This window comes from Homo sapiens, chromosome 2 (genome assembly GCF_000001405.40).
Source record: "Homo sapiens chromosome 2, GRCh38.p14 Primary Assembly".
In the NCBI taxonomy this organism is placed as follows: Eukaryota; Metazoa; Chordata; class Mammalia; order Primates; family Hominidae; genus Homo; species Homo sapiens.
In genome coordinates, this window is record NC_000002.12 from 65,438,484 (window position 1) to 65,459,859 (window position 21,376).

Sequence of the window (21,376 nt, forward strand, 5' to 3'; positions counted from 1 at the left end):
CCAAAGACACTGTATTCTACCTAGGCAGGCAGCCCACAGGCAGGGAGCAGTGAGGCTCCTAAAATAACAATGAACATTGATCCCAGCTTGGGCTCTGTTTCTAGGGAACCCAACCTAAGAGAAGTAGGCTCTCTCCCACCAGGGGAGCTGGAGGGGCTCAAGTGATCAGCTGAGAAAATCACCAAATTTGTGGAACAAGTTTTACAAGTTACATAACCAAATAGTTTAAGCAGGGAATGCTAGGCTCAGGTTTTATACTTTAATAGGTTATTCTAGGCTTGAAGGATGGTTTGTTGGGAGCAGAGCAAAGACTGGTTTGGGAGAAATTTTCCTCTTCCATGACAGGAGTAACAATGCATGATAAAGCACAGTGACAAGGGCCATGGAAAGAAGTAACCAATTCCAAAGACACAAATGGGGTAGAAATGACTTGGCTTTATGATCTGTTAGATATGGGGGCTCATTGAGAGGTCTAGGATAAATTCCAAGTTTCTTTCCCTTTTCCTTGGGAAATTGGGTGTTTTCTGGTCTCTTAACATGATTAGGGTAATAAGTGGGGAGTAGGAAGAAGGCTGGGATCACTCAAGATGGAGAAGCACGATGAGCAGTTGCTGCCACACAAGTCTGGGACCCACACAATAGGTCAGAGACTGAGGGATATACATAGGACAAGACTGAGTGCAGCAGATCCTGGAGGTGGAGATGGGGAGACAGTTCCCTGAATACATCTTTTGAGCAACTGGATTCAATCTTGCCTGAAGCCTGAGGATGATCTGGACTTTTAAGATGTAAAAGCCAATATATTGTTTTTTGCTTGAGCTAGGTTGAGTTGGGCTTTTGTCACTTGGAGCCCCCAAAATTCTAGCTAACAAAGTAGAAAACCATACTTTGGATAGTGAAAAAGATTGAGAGGAACTAAGGAATGGAACATAAGGGGAATTTTAGAATGTGTGTTTGCAATTTAACACAGGGACATCTGGGGTCTTTGCCAGGGAGTTTCATAGAGACTCTGATTTACTAGAACAAACTTCTCCCAGGAAGTTAGTCAACACTTTATGGGTTGTGCTGTCCTCTGTTTTTAGTCTCAGCATCCTACCATCACCACCTTAATTCACATGTTCACCTCCCTTCTCACTCCTAAAAACATGCCTCATTTTTACTACCTTTATTTCCCGTCCCTTCTGTAAAGACCAAAGCTGGGAAAGGAAGCTTAATAATATAAGAGAATCAGAGCTTTTAGAATTGGAAGAAAATGAAGGATCGTATGTTGTGGCAACTCTGACTTCAGTAAACCAAACATCTTACCCAACCTTTTTGGAATGGAGAAAGGAAGAAAACAAAATACAATATGATATGGTCCCTGTATCAGTTAGCTTTTGGTGTATAACAAACCACCACAAAATCTAGTGGCTTAAAATGATGAACATTTTACTGTTTCTCATGAGTCTCTGGTCTGGGCTGGCTCAGCTAGGGCTGGATGGTCTAGGATGGCCTCGCTGATGTATGTCGTGTTTGGCAAGCTGATTGCTCTGGTAGGGCCTGAGGTGGGCCAGCTCGTCTCTGCTCCACATGATCTGTTATCCTCCAACAGGCCAGCCTGAACTGCATCACATGGTGGTGGTGGCAGGGTTCCCAGATCAGCAAGAGAGAACAACCCCCAATGTGCATGTACTTGTTAAGCCTCTGCTTGCATCACATTTGTTACTATCCCATTAGCAAAAGAAGTCACACAGTTGGACAGGCGCGGTGGCTCACACCTGTAATCCCAGCACTTTGGGAGGCCGAGACTGGTGGATCACCTGAGGTCAGGAGTTCAAGACCAGCCTGGCCAACAGAGTGAAACCCTGTCTCTACTAAAAATATAAAAAATTAGCTGGGCGTGGTGGCAGGCACCTGTAATCCCAGCTACTCGGGAGGCTGAGGCAGGAAAACCAATGGAAACCAGGAGGCGAAGGTTGCAGTGAGCTGAGATCATGCCATTGCACTCCAGCCTGGGCGACAAGAACGAAACTCCGTCTCAAAAAAAAAAACAACAAAGAAAATAAGAAGTCACACAGTCAACCCAGAGTCAGAGTCAAGGAGTAGTGACATAGACTCTCCTTGTTGATGAGAAGAATGGCAAAGTCATATCACAAGGGATGTGCATACAAGATGAGAGGAATCTGTAGCCATCTTAATAATCTACCTCAACCCCTAACCCAAATTTTACAACATAGAAAAAGATATTTGTTTTTTGTTTTTGTTTTGGTGGTTTTTTTCTTTTTCTTTTTCTTTCTTTCTTTCTTTTTTTTTTTTTTTTTTTTTGAGATGGAGTCTTGCTTTGTCACCCAGGCTGGAGTGCAGTGGTGTGATCTCAGCTCACTGCAACCTCCACCTCCTGGGTTCATGCAATTCTCCTGCGTCAGCCTCCTGAGTAGCTGGGATTACAGACATGCACCACCATGCCCAGCTAATTTTTTTTGTATTTTTAGTAGAGATGGGGTTTCACTATGTTGGCCAGGCTGGTCTCGAACTCCCAATCTCAAGTGACTCACCTGCCTTGGCCTCCCAAAGTGCTGGGATTACAGGTGTGAGTCACCATGCCTGGCCTGTTTTTGTGCTTTTTTTTTTGAGACAGTGTCTCGCTGTGTCACTCAGGCTGGAGTGCAGTGGTGCAATCTTGGCTCACTGCACCCTCAACCCAGGCTCAAGCGATCTTCCCACCTCAGCATCCCTAGTGACTGGGGCTACAGGTGGTCACCATCATGCCTAGTTAATTTTTTTAATTTTTAGTACAGATGAGGTCTTGCTATGTTGTCCAGGCTGGTCTTGAACTCCTGAGATCAAATGATACTCCTGCCTTGGCCTCCCAAAGTGTTGGGATACAGGTGTGAGCCACCGTGCCCAGCCAGGGTATTTGTAATAATAATATACATTTATCTCATATATGATATATTGTATACTTACATATACAAATATAAAATATAAACATGATACATATATAAGTACATGTATCATGTATTTACATAAGTATATTTTTATATAGATATACTATTTCTATATAGCAGTACTATTGATGAAATTCACTTTTCCCTTTACAGTCCCTGATTTATGGCCAACTAAAACTGCTTAATGTTTAGTAGATTTGTGCATGCTATAAAACTCTTCTCAATTAATTTAATGAATCAAGAAAGAGTCCTTAAAAACTTTTTATACTTGCCCTTCTCTGTCAGCTTGAAAATCCTATTTCTGTTATGCTTACATCTTAAAATAGGCATGCTACTGAAGAGATCTGGGCAATTAAAATGTTTGTAAACCAAAGCACATTTTAAAAACACTAGGGAAGCTTAACTATTTAGGGTTACTTTAGATTAGATAATTTGGAAAAGCAAATAATCATTCCTGAATTTGTTCATAGAACTCATATCTTAAATATAGTTTTGGGATTAGTTAAAGCAAGGCTCACCTGTGTGCTTTTTTGATGACGACAGAGGTGGTGCTCATGGTGATGATGGTGGTGGTGGTGATGATGATGGTGTTGAGAGATAGCAGTGGAGATGGTGATGGGAAGGATGAGGATGATAGTGGTGATGGTGGTAAAGGTGATGGTGGTGGAGATAGTGACGGTGATTTTGGAAATGATGGTGGTGGAAGGATCTGAGATAGACACTTTTAGTTTGCTGCAGTGGTTTCCCTGTGGTCCATCTACCAGATTGCAGGCTATACAGATAGCTGGGGCAAATGCATTAGAAAAAGGAATAGAAGGCCGGGCAAGGTGGCTCACGCCTGTAATCCTAGCACTTTGGGAGGCCGAGGTGGGCAGATCACGAGGTCAGGAGATCAAGATCATCCTGGCCAACATGGTTAAACCCCATCTGTACTAAAATACAAAAAAAAATTAGCCGGCCATGCTGGTGCATGCCTGTAGTCCCAGCTGCTTGGGAGGCTAAAGCAGGGGAATCACTTGAAGCTGGGAGGCAGAGGTTGCAGTGAGCCAAGATCACGCCATTACACTCCAGCCTGGAAACTGAGCGAGACTCTGTTAAAAAAAAAAAAAAAAAGGAATAGAAAAACAGCAAGTCAAAGAAAAGAAGAAAAGCAGGTAGAGTATATGATGACATGCCTGCTAGGCCAGACAGTTCCCCACAATGCCAGGAGAGGCAACCAAGTACTCTTCCTTCAGGCCTCATTTGGATAAAACTTCCTCCAGGAAGCCTTCTCTCATCTCACCTCAACTGGGCGAGGTGCAAGGCATGTATACCCTCTCCTCTGTCCCAGTCCTCTCCATACCTTTCGGTAATTGCTCTTCTACATTTCCTTCCCACTAGATTGTAAGCTTACTGAGGGCAGGGACCACATCTTATTCTCTCTTATTCAATCTTGAGCCACTATGGCACATAGTGCATGCCCTGTGATGCTTACTGAGTAAATGAACGACAAGTCAGCACAACTTGCTTTCTTCTTTCCCTCTAAAAGTGCATTTTACTCCACAGCATCAGAGAAAGTATCCTGAATGGCTTCTCAAGTGTCCTTGCCTAAGGCCCTGGGCTTGCTGGTGTCAGGTGGCTGGGAAGGTGCTCCAGCCGATTTTATAGCATAAAACCATGTAGTACTAGAGTTCTAAAGGACATTAAGGAACTACCTGTTTTAAGATGAGGAAACTGGGGCCCAGATAAGCAAAGTAACTCAATTATGTCACACAGATAGTCAGAGTCACACCAAACCATAACTCGGGGAACTCAGAGTCCAAATTTTATAATCGATGTGACTTTGTTGGAATAATGCTGGATACACCTTTTGCACCCACTGCTAATTATGCTGGTGGGAGGCAGTGTTGCTTATCATTGTTGTAATTCATTCACATAAGAGAAAATGAAGACTTGCTTTTAGGTTTCCAAAGACTGACTCAGGGATATTTATATGGCTTGCATTTGTGGCTCACATTAAATTCTATTGGACACTGCTGGTCTAGGGCAATAATGATGATCATGGTAATCCCCTTCTCTGGGCCAGTTCTTGATTTAGGGATGGCTGTGTTTCTTCTTTTAACTGAGCATAGTTTTTTTCCCTGTGCTTTTCCTTACACCGAACTGTCACAGTGTGGCCAATAAAATGTAGGAAAATGTCTGCTAGGAACAGACATTTTGGGAAAGATTTGAATCCCTGAGAAAAAGAAAGATGAGTGAGCAGAAATGCCACCACCCACCCCTTCCTGCCTTTAGAAGTTCTTGTGTGAAGCAGTGATGCCAGGAGCTACCAGGAGGGGAAAGCCATGGAAGTCAAAGGAAAGCTGACCTAGAATCCTGAAATCGTCAAGATAACTGACATAACCAGTCTTGGAAACTACCTATATCTGGACTTCACATTATGTGAAGTAGTAAGCGTCTATTATTTAAGCCACCTTTATTCTGTGTCTTGTTACTTTCAGCCAAACTAAGTGATTCACACAGCATGGCTTCATTGTGTGCATTCCCTGCTCTGCAGGGTTGTAAGTAAATCTCAGTCTTCCAGCAGCGGGTGCCTGGGCTTGGTTTGCCACCTTGCAGAAGAGGACTAAGCAGCAGTTTTTAGACATATCTCTTTGAGATGTCATCTGCTGATATTTGTAGGCTGAGAAATTTTTGGTGCTTTTTGTGTAACAACTTAACATTGGGCAATCTACAAAAATGTAAAAACCTCTAGCCTATGTATGCTTACAAGCATGCGTTATATGCTTGTAACTTATTGTTGCTGTATAAAACTCTATGTTTTTTTTCCATTGTTATTTGTGCTTATGAAATAACACAAGCCTTAATTTAAAAAAAAAAAAAACTTGGCCGGGCGCGGTGGCTCACGCCTGTAATCCCAGCACTTTGGGAGGCCGAGGCGGGCAGATCATGAGGTCAGGAGATCGAGACCATCCTGGCTAACACAGTGGAACCCCATCTCTACTAAAAATATAAAAAATTACCCGGATATGGTGGTGGGCGCCTGTAGTCCCAGCTATTCAGGAGGCTGAGGCAGGAGAATGGCGTGAACCCGGGAGGCGGAGCTTGCAGTGAGCCGAGATGGCACCACTGCACTCCAGCCTGGGCGACAGAGCGAGACTCCGTCTCAAAAAAAAAAAAAAAAAAAAATAGCCAAGTGCAGTGACACATATCTATAGTCCTAGCCACTCAGAAAACTGAGGCAGGAAGATTGGTTGAGCTCAGGAGTTCGAGACTAGCTGGGTAACATAACAAGACCCTGTCTCAATTTTAAAAAAAGAAAAGTAAAAAGAAATGTAAGCCTTGTTCACTGTATAAACAGTTAAAGTGCAAAAAAGTATTGAGAAAAGAATAATGTCCCAGTAATCTCACCACTCAGATATAACCCCTGCTATTAATGGTTGATTTTTCTTTTCTTTCTTTCTTTCTTTCTTTCTTTCTTTCTTTCTTTCTTTCTTTCTTTCTTTCTTTCTTTCTTTCTTTCTTTCTTTTCTTTCTTTCTTTTTTTTTTTAAAGAAGTTTTGCTCTGTCGCCAGGCTGGAGTGCAGTGGCGTGATCTTGGCTCATGGCAACCTCCACCTCCAGGGTTCAAACGATTCTCCTGCCTCAGCCTCCCGAGTACCTGGCACATGCCACCACGCCCAGCTAATTTTTGTATTTTAGTAGAGACAGGATTTCACCATGTTGGCCAGGATAGTCTCGATCTTTTGACCTCGTGATCTGCCCACCTCGGCCTCCCAAAGTGCTAGGATTATAGGCATGAGCCACCGCACCCCACCGGGTTTTTCTTTTTTGAGACAGGGTCTCGCTTTGTCTCCCAGGTTGGAGTGCCATGGCATGATCTTGGCTCACTGTAGCTTCCGCCTTCCGGGATCAAGCTAACCTCTTGCCTCAGCCTTTCAAGTAGCTGGAACTACAGTTGTGTGCCACCATGCCCAGCTAATTTTTGTATATTTTGAAGAGATGGGTTTTTGCCATGTTGCCCAGGCTGGTATTTAACTCCTGGGCTCAAGTGCTCTACCCGCCTTGAACTCCCAAAGTGCTGAGATTACAGATGTGAGCCACCGTGCCTGGCCATGTTTTTACATTAAAAAAAAAAAAAAAATTGGGGGTCTGGGCTCACACCTGTAATCTCGGCACTTTGGGAGGCCGAGACAGGTAGATAACCTGAGGTCAGGAGTTCAAGACCAGCCAGACCAACATGGTGAAACCCCACCTCTACTAAAAATACAAAATTAGCCAGGCATGGTGATGCATGCCTGTAATCCCAGCTAGTCGGGACGCTGAGGCACAAGAATCGCTTGAACCCGGAGGCGGAGGTTGCAGTGAGCTGAAATCACACCCTTGCTCTCCAGCCTGGGCAACAAGAGCGAAACTCCCTCTCAAAAAAAAGAAAAAAAAAATTCTAATTTTTAATTTTTGTGGGTACATAGTAGGTGCATATATTTATGGTGTACATGAGATATTTTGGTACAGACATGCAATGCATAATAATCACATGGAAAGTGGGGTATCCATCCCCTCAAGCATGTATCTTTTGTGTTATAAACAATCCAGTTATACTCTAAGTTCTTTATTTTTATTTTTATTTTTTTTGAGACGGAGTCTCGCTCTGTCCCCCGGGCTGGAGTGCAGTGGCGCGATCTCGGCTCACTGCAAGCTCCGCCTCCCGGGTTCACGCCATTCTCCTGCCTCAGCCTCCCGAGTAGCTGGGACTACAGGCGCCCGCCACCACCGACTAATTTTTTAAAAAATGTACAATTAAATTATTATTGACTATAGTCGCCCTGTTATGTTATCAAATAATAGGTCTTATTCATTCTTTCTATTTTTTTGTACCCATTAACTGTCTCCATCTCCCCACTGCCACCCCCGACTACCCTTCCCAGCCTCTGGTAACCATTCTTTTGCTCTCTATCTCCATGAGTTCAATTGTTTTGATGTTTGGGATCCCACACATAAGTGAAGACATGCTATGTTTGTCTTTTTGTGCCTGGCTTATTTCAGTTAATGATTTCCAGTTCCATCCATGTTGTTACAAATAACAGGAGCTCATTTTCTTCTATGGCTGAGTAGCACTCCATTGTGTATATGTACCATATTTTCTTTCTTTCTTTTTTCTTTTCTTTTCTTTTCTTTTTTTTTTTTTGGAGACAGAGTCTCAGTCTATTGCCCAGGCTGGAGTGCAGTGGCGCGATCTCAGCTCACTGCAACCTCCGCCTCCCAGGTTCAAGTGATTCTCATGCCTCAGCCTCCCGAGTAGTTGGGATTATAGGTATGCACCACCATGCCCGGCTAATTTTTGTATTTTTGGTAGAGAGGGGTTTCACCATGTTGGCCAGGCTGGTCTCGAACTCCTGACTTCGTGATCTGCCTGCCTTGGCCTCCCAAAGTGCCGAGATTACAGATGTGAGCCACTGCGCCCGGCCTTGTACCATATTTTCTTTATCTGTTCATCTGTTAATGGACATGTAGGTTGCTTCCAAATCTTGACTATTGTGAACAGTGCTGCAACAAATATAGGAGTGCAGATATCGCTTTAATATACTGATTTCCTTTCTTTTGGGTACACATCTAGCAGTGGGATTGCTGGGTCATTTGGTAGTCATATTTTTAGTTTCTTGAGGAACCTTCAAACTGTCCCTATAGTGGCTGTACTAATCTACATTCTCATCAACAGTGTACAGGGGTTCCCTTTTCTTCACATACTTGCCAACATTTGTTATTGCCTGTCTTTTGGTTACGAGCTGTTTTAGCTGGGGTTAAGATGATATCTCATTGTAGTTTTGATTTGCATTTCTCTGATGATCAGTGATGTTGAGCACCTTTTCTTTTCTTTTTTTTTTTTTTGTTTGAGACAGAGTTTCACTCTTGTTGCCTAGGCTGGAGTGCAGTGGCATGATCTTGACTCACTGCAACCTCCATCTCCCGGGTTCAAGCGATTCTCCTGCCTCAGCCTCCTGAGTAGCTGGGATTACAGGTACACACCACCACACCTGGCTAATTTTTGTATTTTTAGTAGAGGCGGGGTTTCACCACGTTGGCCAGGCTGATCTCGAACTCCTGACCTCAGGTGATCCACCCGCCTCAGCCTCCCAAAGTGCTGGAATTAGAGGCATGAGCCACGGTGCCCAGCTGAGCACCTTTTCATATGCCTGTTTGCCATTTGTATCTCTTCTTCTGAGAAATGTTTATTCAAATCTTTTGCCCATTTTTAAATTGTATTATTAGATTTTTCCCTATAGCATTGTTTGAGTTCCTTGTATATTCTGGTTATTAATCCCCTGTCTGATGGGTAGTTTGCAGATATTTTCTTCCATTCTGTGGGTTGTCTCTTCACTTTGTTGATTGCTTTCTTTGTCATGTGGAAGCTTTTTAACTTGATGGGATCCCATTTGTCCATTTTTGCTTTGGTTGCCTGTGCTTGAAGGGTATTACTCAAGAAATGTTTGCCCAGACCAATGTCCTGGAGACTTTCCCCTAATGTTTTCTTGTAGAAGTTTCATAGTTTGAGGTCTTAGATTTAAGTCTTTAATCCATTTTGATACGATTATTCTATGTAGTGAGAGATACGGGTCTAGTTTTATTCTTCTGCATATGGATATCCAGTTTTTCCAGCACCATTTATTGAAGAGACTGTCTTTTCCCCAGTGGATGTTCTTGGCACCTTTGTTAAAAATGAGTTCACAGTAGGTGTGTGGATTTGTTTCTGGGTTCTCTATTCTGTTCCATATGTCTATGTATCTGTTTTTATGCCAGTACCATGCTGTTTTGGTTAATATAGCTCTGTAGTGTAATTTGAAGTCAGTAATGTGATTCCTCCAGTTTTGTTCTTTTTGCTTGGGATAGCTTTGGCTATTCTGGGTCTTTTGTGGTTCCATATAAGTTTTAGGATTTTTTTTTCTATTTCTGTGAAGAATGCCATTGGTATTTTGATAGGAATTGCATTGAATCTGCAGATTGCTTTGTGCAGTATGGGCATTTTAACAATATTGATTCTTTCAATCCATGGACATGGAATATATTTCCTTTTTTGTGTGTCCTCTTCAATTTCTTTTATCAGTGTTTTGTTATTTTCATTATAGATATCTTTCACTTCTTTGGTTAATTCCTAGGTATTTAATTTTATGTGTGGCTATTGTAAATGGGATTACTTTGTAAAATTTCTTTTTCAGATTGCTCACTGTTGGCATATAGAAATGCTACTGATTTTTGTGTGTTGAGTTTTTTTTTTTTTTTTTTTTTTTTTTTTTTTTTTTTGAGACAGACCTGGCTCTGTTGCCCAGGCTAGAAAGCAGTGTGATCTTGACTCACTGGAACCTCTGCTTCCTGGGCTCAAGGCATCCTGCCATCTGCCAGCCTCCCTAGTAGCTGGGTGTGTGCCACAATGCCTGGCTAATTTTTTGCACTTTTTTTGAGATGGTGTTTCGTCATGTTGCTCAGACTGGTCTTGAATTCCTGAGCCCAAGTGATCTACCCACCTTGGCCTCCCAAAGTGCTGGGATTACAGGCATGAGCCACCACTTCTGGTTCTGTGTAGATTTTGTATCCTGCAACTTTACTAAATTTGTTGATCAGTTCTTGTTTTTTTTTTTTTTTTTTTTTTTTTTTTGAGATGGAGTCTTGCTCTGTCGCCAGGCTGGAGTGCAGTGGTGCGATCTTGGCTCATTGCAACGTCTGCCTCCTAGGTTCAAGCGATTCTCCTGCCTCAGCCTCCCGAGTAGCTGGGACTACAGGCACGCTCCACCACCCCCAGCTAATTTTTGTATTTTTAGTAGAGACAGGGTTTCACCATGTTGGCCAGGATGGTCTCCACCTCTTGACCTCGTGATCCACCCACCTGGGCCTCCCAAAGTGCTGGGATTACAGGCGTTAGCCACCATGCCCAGTGATCAGTTCTAATAGATATTTTTGTGTGTGTGCAATTGTTAGATTTTTCCAAATATAAGATCATATCATCTGCAAACAAGGATAATTTCACTTCTTCCTTTCAAATTTGGATGCATTTTATTTCATTCTCGTGTCTGATTGCCCTAGCTAGAACTTCCAGTACTAAGTTGAATAATAGTGGTAAAAATGGGCATTTTTGTTGTGTTCTAGATCATGGAGAAAAGGCTTTTAGTTATTCCCCATTCAGTATGATACTAGCTGTGGGTCACTGCTAATGTTTTAAGTGTGTATTTTTATAGTCTTTTTCTGTATAGAAAGTATAATTTTAATAAAAATAAGATCATGCTGAACATACTCCTTTGTAGCCCCTTAAAAGAAAAACAACTCAGTGGTAATATGCAGAGGTCCTAAATGTCTCATGCATGTTTTCTAGAAAGCAGCTATGACTTGATACCATTCTCTTTAGTCTTAATGCCACAGATGTATAGAGCTTTTCACAGATGTGAAAATAGTTTTAAATACATTATTTTATTATTTTGTGCCCCCACCATAACCCATCTACACTTCTACAAATAGTGAACTTATTTGCTTAACTGATTTTCTTTACCAACTAAATCAAGAATTTCTGGAGGCGGTGGGGAAAGCAACTATCAAATAAACTAAATTTTATACCCACATAATTATATCTGTCAGAATGCCTAGTGTATATAAAGTACTCAGTACAAATTTATAGAATGAACAAAAATATGCTTGTATAGTTTTTGTTTTGTCACGACTGTAATTGTTCTGTTGGTAAATTTACACTACTGTCTCCATTGAAATTCTCATTTCAAACTAGTTAAGATCACACAGTGATTAAGATCACAAAAGAAAGAAAGAAACATTATCATCATCAGCATCATCATATGCCTCACCATTATTAAACCCTTTAATGGTTCTGGACTTTAAGGTTCTGCCTGCTAGTTGTAGACGTGAATTTTAAGCATTGAAATTTTACCCAAACCCAAACAGCTCAAAGATAAGAGGAAACTTCATCAGATATTCCAATATTTCAATAAGCCTGATATTTTTTGGTGAGCCGATTTAAAAAATTCAGGTAGCAGGCCAAATGTGTTCATTTTTATCTTGATACTTGTCATCATATAATCTCCACTTTCCTATCTCTTCTTCTTCATTTCCATTTCCTCCTAAACCAGTCGCAGACCAGCGCCTGTCCTCACTACTTCACACAAGCTGCTCTTTGGTCAGGTCACTTCATCTGATTGCCAAATCTGCCAGTCTTTCTTCAGTCCTTGGCTTGTCACTTAACAGGGCTGACCACTTCTACTATCTTGAAACTCTTCCATCAGTGACTTCTGTAACCCCAACTTCTGGTTCCTCTTTACCTCTCCATTCATTGATTTATTCAGCAAAAAATTTAACTGAGTACTGGTGTTAGGTGCTACAGTAAAGGAATGCAATCATATTAATAAAGCTGGTATTAATTGAGTGTCTTACCAAGTGCTAGTCAATGATTCAAAAATTTAAACACTTTACATGTTTACATGTGTGAACTACTTTAATCTCACTAGAACAAGGGACAGCAAACCTTTTCTTTAAGGGCCAGATAGTAAATATTTTCAGCTGTACAAGCCATATGGTCTGTGTTGCAACCACTGAACCCAACCTTTGTAGCATGCACGTGGCCATAGATAATACATAATCTAAAGGGTGTGGCCATGTACCAATAAAACTTTATAAAACAAGTGACTAAGTTTGGTCAGGAGCTGTAGATTGCCAACCCCTGCACTAGAATCTATCTAAGTTCCACCAGGGCAGGAATTTTGGTTGGTTTCAATATAGAAAAACAAATGCTTAGTTAATATTTAATGAATGAAGGCTCTCCTTCTAAGATAGAAACTATTTGAATCCCCATTTTATAAATAAGACAACCAAAACACAGAGGTTAAGTAGCATGCCCAATGTGACCAACTGAATTGGCAAATCCAGGATCAAAACCCACATAGTTTGGCATTAGAACTTATATTCTTAATCACTGTACTGTACAGTGGTGACACAGAGAAGGTTGTTAACTGTTCTCTGGGAAGTGGGAGTGGGAGCCAGGAGAGGTAATTTTAACTGGATCTTGAAGAATGAAGAATTCACCAGGAAGAAAAGTAGAGGAGAGGGAGAGGCTTTGCGTTCTAGCATGTGGAAACTGCAGGTATAAGAAACAGATGTCTGATACAACATGGTATTATGAGCAAATTGGCAATAAAGGAAAACCATTGCTTAGGGAATGCACTCAATTTTCAGCAATTCACATGTCTGGACACAGGTTTTGAGGTGGAGAGTGGCAGAGATGGGCTAAAGAAATATGCCGGGGGCCTTGTGTGACATGTGGATGAATTTGGATTTTAACTTGGTGGCAGATGGGCTACTGAAGTGTTTTGAGCATGAGAAAGAATGACCATATTTGCATTTTAGGTCAATTTTTAAAATTACATTTTATTTTAAAATTAGATGATACATGCATATTGTACAGCCTTCAAAAGCTGAAAAGGTCTTCTTCCTGCTTGTTTCCACTATCCAGTTCTGTCTTCCAAAGGCGCCCACTGTTTCCAGTTAGAAAGATGACTTTCGGCCAGGCGCAGTGGCTCACACCTGTAATCCTAGCACTTTGGGAGGCCAAGGCGGGTGATCATCTGAGGTCGGGAGTTTGAGACCAGCCTGACCAACTTGGAGAAACCCTGTCTCTACTAAAAATACAGAAAATTAGCCAGGCATGGTGGCGCATGCCTGTAATCCCAGCTACTCGGGAGGCTGAGGCAGGAGAATCACTCGAACCCGGGAGGCAAAGGTTGCAGTGAGCCGAGATCAGGCCACTGCACTCCAGCCTGGGTGACAGAGCAAGACTCCATCTCTAAAAAAAAAAGAAAGAAAGAAAGAAAGAAAGAAAGATGACTTTCACTGTAGTGTGAAGAATGGATCAGTCCTGGGGCCATACCAATCTCTTGACAGAATGTCACAGCTCTCAGATGTCTCCGACTTCCAGTAATACCTCCCTCCCTCACCACTTCTGGCCTTGAGATGGTATCTCAGTCACTAGCCTGGAGGGCTGTGGTATCACTATGGTTTCCCTCTCCATGCATTCTTACATTCTAAATGGGGGTAATATTGCCTCTAAAGGGGTGAAAATTAGTCTGGGGGAGCAAAACAATCTTAGATATGAAATGGTTTGTTGGCCTCCAAAGCTCAACCCTACTCACCAAAATTTTGTCAAGGGAAATTTAAATTTTTCTCTTAGGATGAAATAAGGAGATAATGACAAAAGGTTGAGCAACACTGCTCTACACGTTTGTAAATATTTCCTTGACTAGATCCTTTTCAAATGACTCAGGCTGAATGTGCACCTGTTTCCGCCCAGGTACCTAACTGATCCAGGAGATAATGGAATTCAGAGGCTTGAATGGAGGATGGTGATCCATGTGGTCATAGAGAAAAGGCAGTGTAACATCTTGGGAGTAAGTGTGGACTGCTGGGATTAGATCCTGGCTCTGCCATTTACTATTGGCTGTGTGACTTTAACCCCTCGTTGCCTCTGCAAAGTAGGGGATAACAATTGTACCTGTCTCCTGGTTTTGCTCAGGATATTGCTCAGCATATGTTAGCTATTGCTCAAAGACTCAGATGGTAGAGCATCAAAGGAGGAGGGAGTTTTGCTGGAGGTTGGAAGAGCTAAAGGTTTAGAAGTAGGATTGAGGAATGTGGAGAGCGCCAGTACCACTTTCCATACCCATGGGTTGTGGGGCATGGGAAAATGAGTAGCATCCTTTCTAGAATTCAGCAATGGAATCATGTTCCTTAGGGATTACAGTTACTTTTCAGTTAAGGCAAGGAATGAGCCAGGAGGTTAAAAGTGGAAAGAAGTTTATATACAATTGAATGAAAGCAGGGCACAGAAGAAAGATCTGGGAAGGAAGAAGGTAGAAGGTGGAGAGGAAGCCCAGAGCAGGATAGCAGATTGGAGATTAGGGTAAGGGAGAAGAGACCTCCAGAGGCAGGAGCACCGCACAAGATGGCTCAGACTGAACAGAGCAGGAGGTGGTGAACTATGGCCGGATCTAGCCAGCTGCTTATTTTTGTATAGCTCGCAAACTAAGAATAATTTTTACATTTTAAATGGGTTTTTAAAAATGAATATGAGAGCATTTCATGATACATGAAAATGATATGAAGTTCAATGTCAGTGTCCATAAATAAAGTTTTTTTGGATCATAGCCATGCCCGCTCATTTAAACATTGTCTATGGCTGCATTCCCACTACAACAGCAGAAATGAGTAGTTGCAACAGAGATTGTGTGGCCCACACAGTGGAGACTATTGGCCCTATCTGGCCCTTTATAGAAGTTTATTGCCCAGGCACAGTGGCTCATGCCACTGTAATCCCAGCACTTTGGGAGGCTGAGATGGGCAGATTGCTTGAGCTGAGAAGTTCAGGACCAACCTGGGTAACATGGCAAAACCCCATCTCTTAAAAAAAAAAAAAAAAAGAAAAAAATTAGCCAGGCATGTCAGTGTGCACCTGTAGTCCTAGCTACTCAGGAGGCTGTGGTGAGAGGATCGCTTGAGCCCAGGAGGTAGAGGTTGTAGTGAGCCTTGTGTTCATACCATTGCATTCCACCCTGTCTCAAAAAAAAAAAAAGAAAGAAAGAAAGAAAATTTGCTGGCTCCTGTTCTAGCACATCATTCATAGTCTGCAATATGAATGGCACCTCCAGGAGTTGTGCAACACAGATGACCTGGCTCTAGGAGCACTCAGTTTGGATAAGTGATAAAGGATTACAGTGAGGAGAAGAATGGATGGAATTAAATGGCCTCAAGGCTCTTTTTGGAATGTAGTCACAAAGTTGTTATGTTAGAAAAAAGCAAGGCTGTCAGCCTGGATTCAAGCCACCACCTCTTGGCTGGTGAGGAGCTAGGTGTGGTAGACACTTCTGGTTGCCCACACAATTTTTGTTTCTCCTTTTGTTCCTTATTAACAGAAGGCTGATTTTATCAAGGTAGCAATGTACCCTGTTAAAAATAATAATCTCAATAAGAAAAGTCCCCAAAGAATGATGGGGACATGTCAATAGGACACAGAGCCAGCTTAAAGGGGTTCCTAATGGCCAATCTGGGACAATTCCATGTTAAAATAAACTCTGATAGTAATGGGTTGTAACTTATCAAGTAGAATAAAAATCTTTGAGTCCGTACGGAAATAAATGAATAAGTGGAGAAAGGAAAGCTTTCCATATGGTGCAAGGCAAACTCATACATGGAAAGACAGAATTAGAAAATTACCATCTTATTGTTTCAGGCAAGGATTATCAATGGATGCTAAAACTAGTGGGTGAAGTTTTGATGAGAAACATGATATTTATATCATCTCAAAGCCTCTCCTCACAGATTCTTATTAATTTCAAAGGGTAAAATAGGGACTTTATAGTAGAGAAATCTGACGGATACTACCTTACCACCTTAACCAAGTTATCAAAGCTAATATCATTAGTAACAGAACAAGTCAAAATAGGGTAGCTTCTGCCATGATGCATCGAGAAGGTTGCAGCATCACTTCTGTGGTATTCTAGCCAAAAATACCTAACCTGAATCCTGAGGAACTGTCAGACAAACCCAAATAAGGGATGTTCTGCAAAGTAACTGGACTTCAGTTTTCAAAAATACCAACAACATGAAAGGCAAAGACAGATTGAGGAACTATTTCATGTTAAAGTAGACTAAACCAACATGACAACGAAATGCAATGTTTGGTCCTGGATTGGTTCCTGGACCAGAAAAAAAGCTTCTTCTCTGTTATAAAGGACATTAGTGGGACAATTGACAAAAGCTGTAGATTAAATAATAGCCTTGTATCAGTGTTAATATTCTGATTTTGATCATTGTACTGTGGTTATGTAAGAGAAAGTCTTTATTTTTAGGAAGCACATACCAAACTAGAAGTAAATGAGCATCACGCATGCATGAGAGAGAGAGAAAGAAAATGATAAAGTAATTGTGGTAAATGTTAGTATTGGGAAATTTTGGGTGAAAAAATACAAGAATTCTTTGTACTACTTTTGCAAATTTTGTCCATTTGAAATTATTCCAAAGCAAAAAGTTTAAAAAAATACTCATTTTGCCCTGGTACTCATGCAGTGATATATTCATATACCCAATCTTGGCCAATGGGTTGTAGGTTTTAGTCCAGTGAATAGGGCTTATCAGAAAATGATTGTTTTTCCTCATAAAAAGGGAGAGACTTGGCAAATGCCTTTTGCCCTTTGTCCTTCCCCTTCCTGCTTGGAATAAGAGCTTAATACCTGGATGTGGAGCAATCATCTATGATTATGAGGACAGAAGGAGCTGGAAGTAGCACGGGTCTTGATGGCTTCTTTGGGCATCAGCCTTGGACTGCCTGCCTCTGAATAAGAAGTCTGTTAGTACACTGTAGTTGGGTTTCTGTTACATATAGTCAAATCCAACTCCAACTGAGCTAGACTGTCTAAGGCTCCCAATGATGTTTACAGTTTTGAGTTTGTGTGGCTTGACTCCTCAATCTCCTTCACAGGCAGCTGCTTTTGGTTGCCCCTCACATGTGGGTGTTCTGCAAGTTTGGTCCTCGGCCTTCTCCTCCCTCTGCGGTCTGTCTACATGGGCTGCCTCATCCACTCCCACTTACCATATAGACTCTGATGATTCGCAATTACCATCTTCACCTAGAATTTTCTCCTGATTTGCAGGCTACATATTCAGCTACCTAGGGATATCTATGTCTATGGTCCATATTCACTTCAACAGTTGCAAAGCTAAATTGCCTTTTCAGCTACACACACATAATCATGCACACATCCAGCCCACAATCTAACCACTTTCCCAAGCCAGAAATGCAGGAGTCATCATCCTCTCTTCTTCCTACTTTTTTACCCCCTACATGCAATTAGTCATCTAGATCTTGATGACTGTACCTCCTAAGTAGTTTCTGAATCCATCTCCTCTTCTCCATTCCCATCAGGTAGGTGCCTCATCATCTGTCACTGGTATTTTTTATTAATGTTTTAAATAGTCTCCCTGTCTCTGTCCTTTGTTCCCCTAACAAACTGCTATCCATTATTTTCTAAAATGCAAATATGATCACCATACTCTCCTATGTAAAAATTTCCTACCACTTCAACTGCTAATGGTAATTCCCCCCAACCCCGTCCCCTCCCCCCGACTCCAATTCCTACTGTGACATAACAATGCTCATAGGATAACCTCTTGGCTGCCCTTCTGTGCCATTTCTTGATGAAGGAAGGACTGTTGACTGCCCCTGGCTGATTTATTTTATTCTTAGGAGGCAGATTCTCCCAAGTCTCCATAAACCAGTGATCTTCCTTTGGCCCCAACTGTCTCTTACCCACAGCAATTTGTACCTCACTTTATTCCATGTCAAAAGACCTGCAGTGTTCTTTTACTTGTCACAAAAATAAATTTTATACATTGATCAAAATGAAGTGTTCGGGCCACTCTGTGTGATAAGTGAGGGTTGAACACTGCCTGAATCCAGCAAACACCATTCATACTACACTTGATCTTAACCAAAAGGCTGAGAAGCAATAACAAACACCATTCATATGATGACATTTTAATCAGTTCGTAGTAGCCCAGGTAGGCAAGCTCCAGGGATGTTTATAAGGCAACCTGGCCCCACATTATGAGTCTCCTGTCTTGGCTACTTTTGAGTTAAGCAATCCTGGGCTCCCGGGACTGATTCCTCCATTTCCTGAGGCAAGCTGCTGGGGTTTGGGTGGAATATGTGATTAAGAATCTTTAGTCACAGAGCAGGAAACAAGGGTACCCAGCTTTGGAGGCACCAGCCATTCACCTTTTCCCTTAATAACCTTCCCCATCCTGTTCTACCACACCTAGTATTATTATTATTTTTTTTTTTTTGAGATGGAGTCTCACTCTGTCGCCTAGGCTGGAGTGCAGTGGAGCGATCTCAGCTCACTGCAAGCTCCACCTCCTGAGTTCAAGCAATTCTCCTGCCTCAGCCTCCCGAGTAGCTGGGACTACAGGTGCTCACCACCATGCCTGGCTAATTTTTTGTATTTTTAGTAGAGACGGGGTTTCACGGTGTTAGCCAGGATGATCTCAATCTCCTGACCTCATGATCCGCCTGCCTTGGCCTCCCAAAGTGCTGGGATTGTAGGCATGAGCCACCGTGCCCGGCCTATTTTTTTTTTTAAACCCAGATCAAATGGAACCTATTAAAGGTAGAGTTGGACATTCCTCCTATGAGCAGAGTTAGACAGTCCTCCTAGAGCTTCTGTGGTATTTATTACACTCTAATACAATTATGTGTTTGTATGTCCGTTTCCCTGCATTTGGTTTCTTTTAATAGCATCCAAATGCAAATCTGACCTTTTTTTTGTTTGTCCTTCTATCAGCATACAATAGAGCCTGACATAGAGAATAATCAATAAGTATATATTGATTGATTAAATGAATGGATTTTTTTTTTTTGTTCCAGGTAGAGTGTAGTGGAAAAAGCCTAGACCCTGGTACTATTCCCAGTTCCTCTGCTAACTTGCTATGTGACCATAGTCTCTCAGCAGCTCCTTCACCTCATCAATGAAGTGGAGTCAGTACCACCCACTTTGGAATAATTGTTTTGAAGATTAAAAGAGTTAATGATCATTTATCCATTCAATTGTAGGGATATGCTGAATGCTTCTTATGAGCCAGGCACTGTGGTAGGTACTAAGGCTATAACATTGTCTTTTCCTCATAAAGCTTTTCAATCTAGCGGGAAAGACAAGTAATTAAACAAGCATCTACAATAACATATAGTGAAAATTGGAATAGGAGAAGAATAAGGTCCTATGGGAACATACAACAGGGGGCCCACCTTAATCGAGGGGTTAGGAAGAACCTCCCCAAATGGTATGAAAGAATTGTAAAGTACTATACTCATGTCAGGTAGGATGTTATTACTATAGATGAGACTGCCGTTGAGCTCATAGAAGGAAGCCATCACACTGTGGAGAGTGAGGCTTCCTGGAAAAGTGGAGTGTTGAGCTGGACTTAACTTCCTTTGATGTTGCTGGCTGATTTTCATTAGGAAGATGTGCCCTTCGAATGGTGTCTCCAGGATCAGAGATGGATCTGTCTTCATCTGTCCATACCCCAACTCACCTTGTTGCTATAAGAAACTGAGCCCTCCAGTTCAAGAATACAAACCACAGAGAGGGGAATACTGAAGGGAAATCTAAAAGGTCAGTGATGTTTCTAGGCAAGGCATCTGTGGAAAGCTGACTTCTGCCTTCAAATGCATCTGGAATCCAACCACCTCTCACCACCTCCTCTGTAACCCCCTGTCTAGACCACTCTCATTGGTCACTAGATTGCAGAGACCTTCAGACTGGTCCTCCTGTTTCCACCCATGCCCTCTTAGAATTTCTTCATGCACATTCCAGCTCCAAATGTCTGTGTTCCTGCTTTGGGCACATTGAGGTGAAGAAGACCAGTGATTTGCCAAGGAAAGAAGGGCTTGTCTGAAAGAGTCAGGAAGGAAATTTATGCTCCCTTAGAAGATGAGAAAACAGAGATAGGGGCTGCTCACCTACCCCTCAGTGTCAACTTGTAGTAGGTAAATAAACAACACCAAATAAGTCTTCCTCTGTTGTTTTTATACTAAAGGATTTTCAGATAAGCCACTGCTCGTTGACCCTTTCCCAGCCTCCCCTCCTCCTCATTTCCCAGACATTCCCTAAGTTGTCTCCTGGCTACAAACTTCCCATCTCTCTGCCCCCTCATCTGTTTCCCAGCCTTTTTCTGACTCACCCTTCACAGTCTCTTCCAGCAGTGCACAAACATCCTCTTGTCTATCAAAGTCAACTTCCAAACAGTCATCATGGTGCACCAGACTGGAGGAAGGAGCAGGGGAGCCAGCACCCTCTTTGGTCAGCTCCTGAGTATGCTGAATGGACACTCAGCGTGGGTTTGCAGGGAGGATTGTTAACTTGACCCAGGCTTCGGACAGGGCTGCCTCCTGCAAGGATGATCTATTTCAGGTTGTGGCAGTTTTCTCTTCTTTTTTTCTTTCTTTTTTTTTTTTTTTTTGTAGACAGAGTCTTGCTTTGTTGCCCAGGCTGGAGTGCAGTGGCGCGATATTGGCTCACTGCAACCTCCGCCTCTCAGGTTCAAGGGATTCTCCTGCCTCAGCCTCCCGAGTAGCTGGGACTACAGGCGTGTGCCACCACGCCCGGCTAATTTTTTGTATTTTTAGTAGATACTGGGCTTCACTGTGTTAGCCAGGATGGTCTCGATCTCCTGACCTTGTGATCCACTCACCTCGGCCTCCCAAAGTGCTGGGATTACAGGCATGAGCCACCGCGCCCAGCTGGTTGTGGCATTTTTCAAATGACAGCAAGGTAAGAGACAGAGACACCATCTTTTCCAAAACCTTCATTTTTTTCTTCCCCCCAATTTTTATTCTGAAAATATTTCAAACCTACAGTTAAGCTGAAAGAAAACCC

At 42.2% G+C, this 21,376-nt stretch overlaps 2 long non-coding RNA genes across 6 annotated transcripts; one reads left to right on the plus strand and one right to left on the minus strand.

Annotated features, from left to right (window-relative positions):
• Positions 1-1,354: 1,354 nt before the first annotated feature.
• On the minus strand, positions 1,355-18,042 carry LOC105374780 (uncharacterized). Of its 5 annotated transcripts, NR_187891.1 has the most exons (5): positions 17,822-18,042; positions 17,177-17,277; positions 15,400-15,499; positions 3,446-4,018; positions 1,355-1,602 (listed from the first exon to the last, which is right to left on the minus strand). It is a non-coding gene; the product is annotated as an uncharacterized LOC105374780 (long non-coding RNA). The 5 variants fall into 5 exon arrangements; NR_187888.1 differs by lacking the exon at positions 15,400-15,499; NR_187889.1 differs by lacking the exon at positions 15,400-15,499 and having other exon boundaries at positions 17,536-18,042.
• A 992-nt stretch (positions 18,043-19,034) lies between these two features.
• Positions 19,035-20,511, plus strand: LOC124907784 (uncharacterized). The gene is made up of 2 exons (XR_007086495.1): positions 19,035-20,113; positions 20,315-20,511. It is a non-coding gene; the product is annotated as an uncharacterized LOC124907784 (long non-coding RNA).
• The last annotated feature ends 865 nt before the right edge of the window (positions 20,512-21,376 follow it).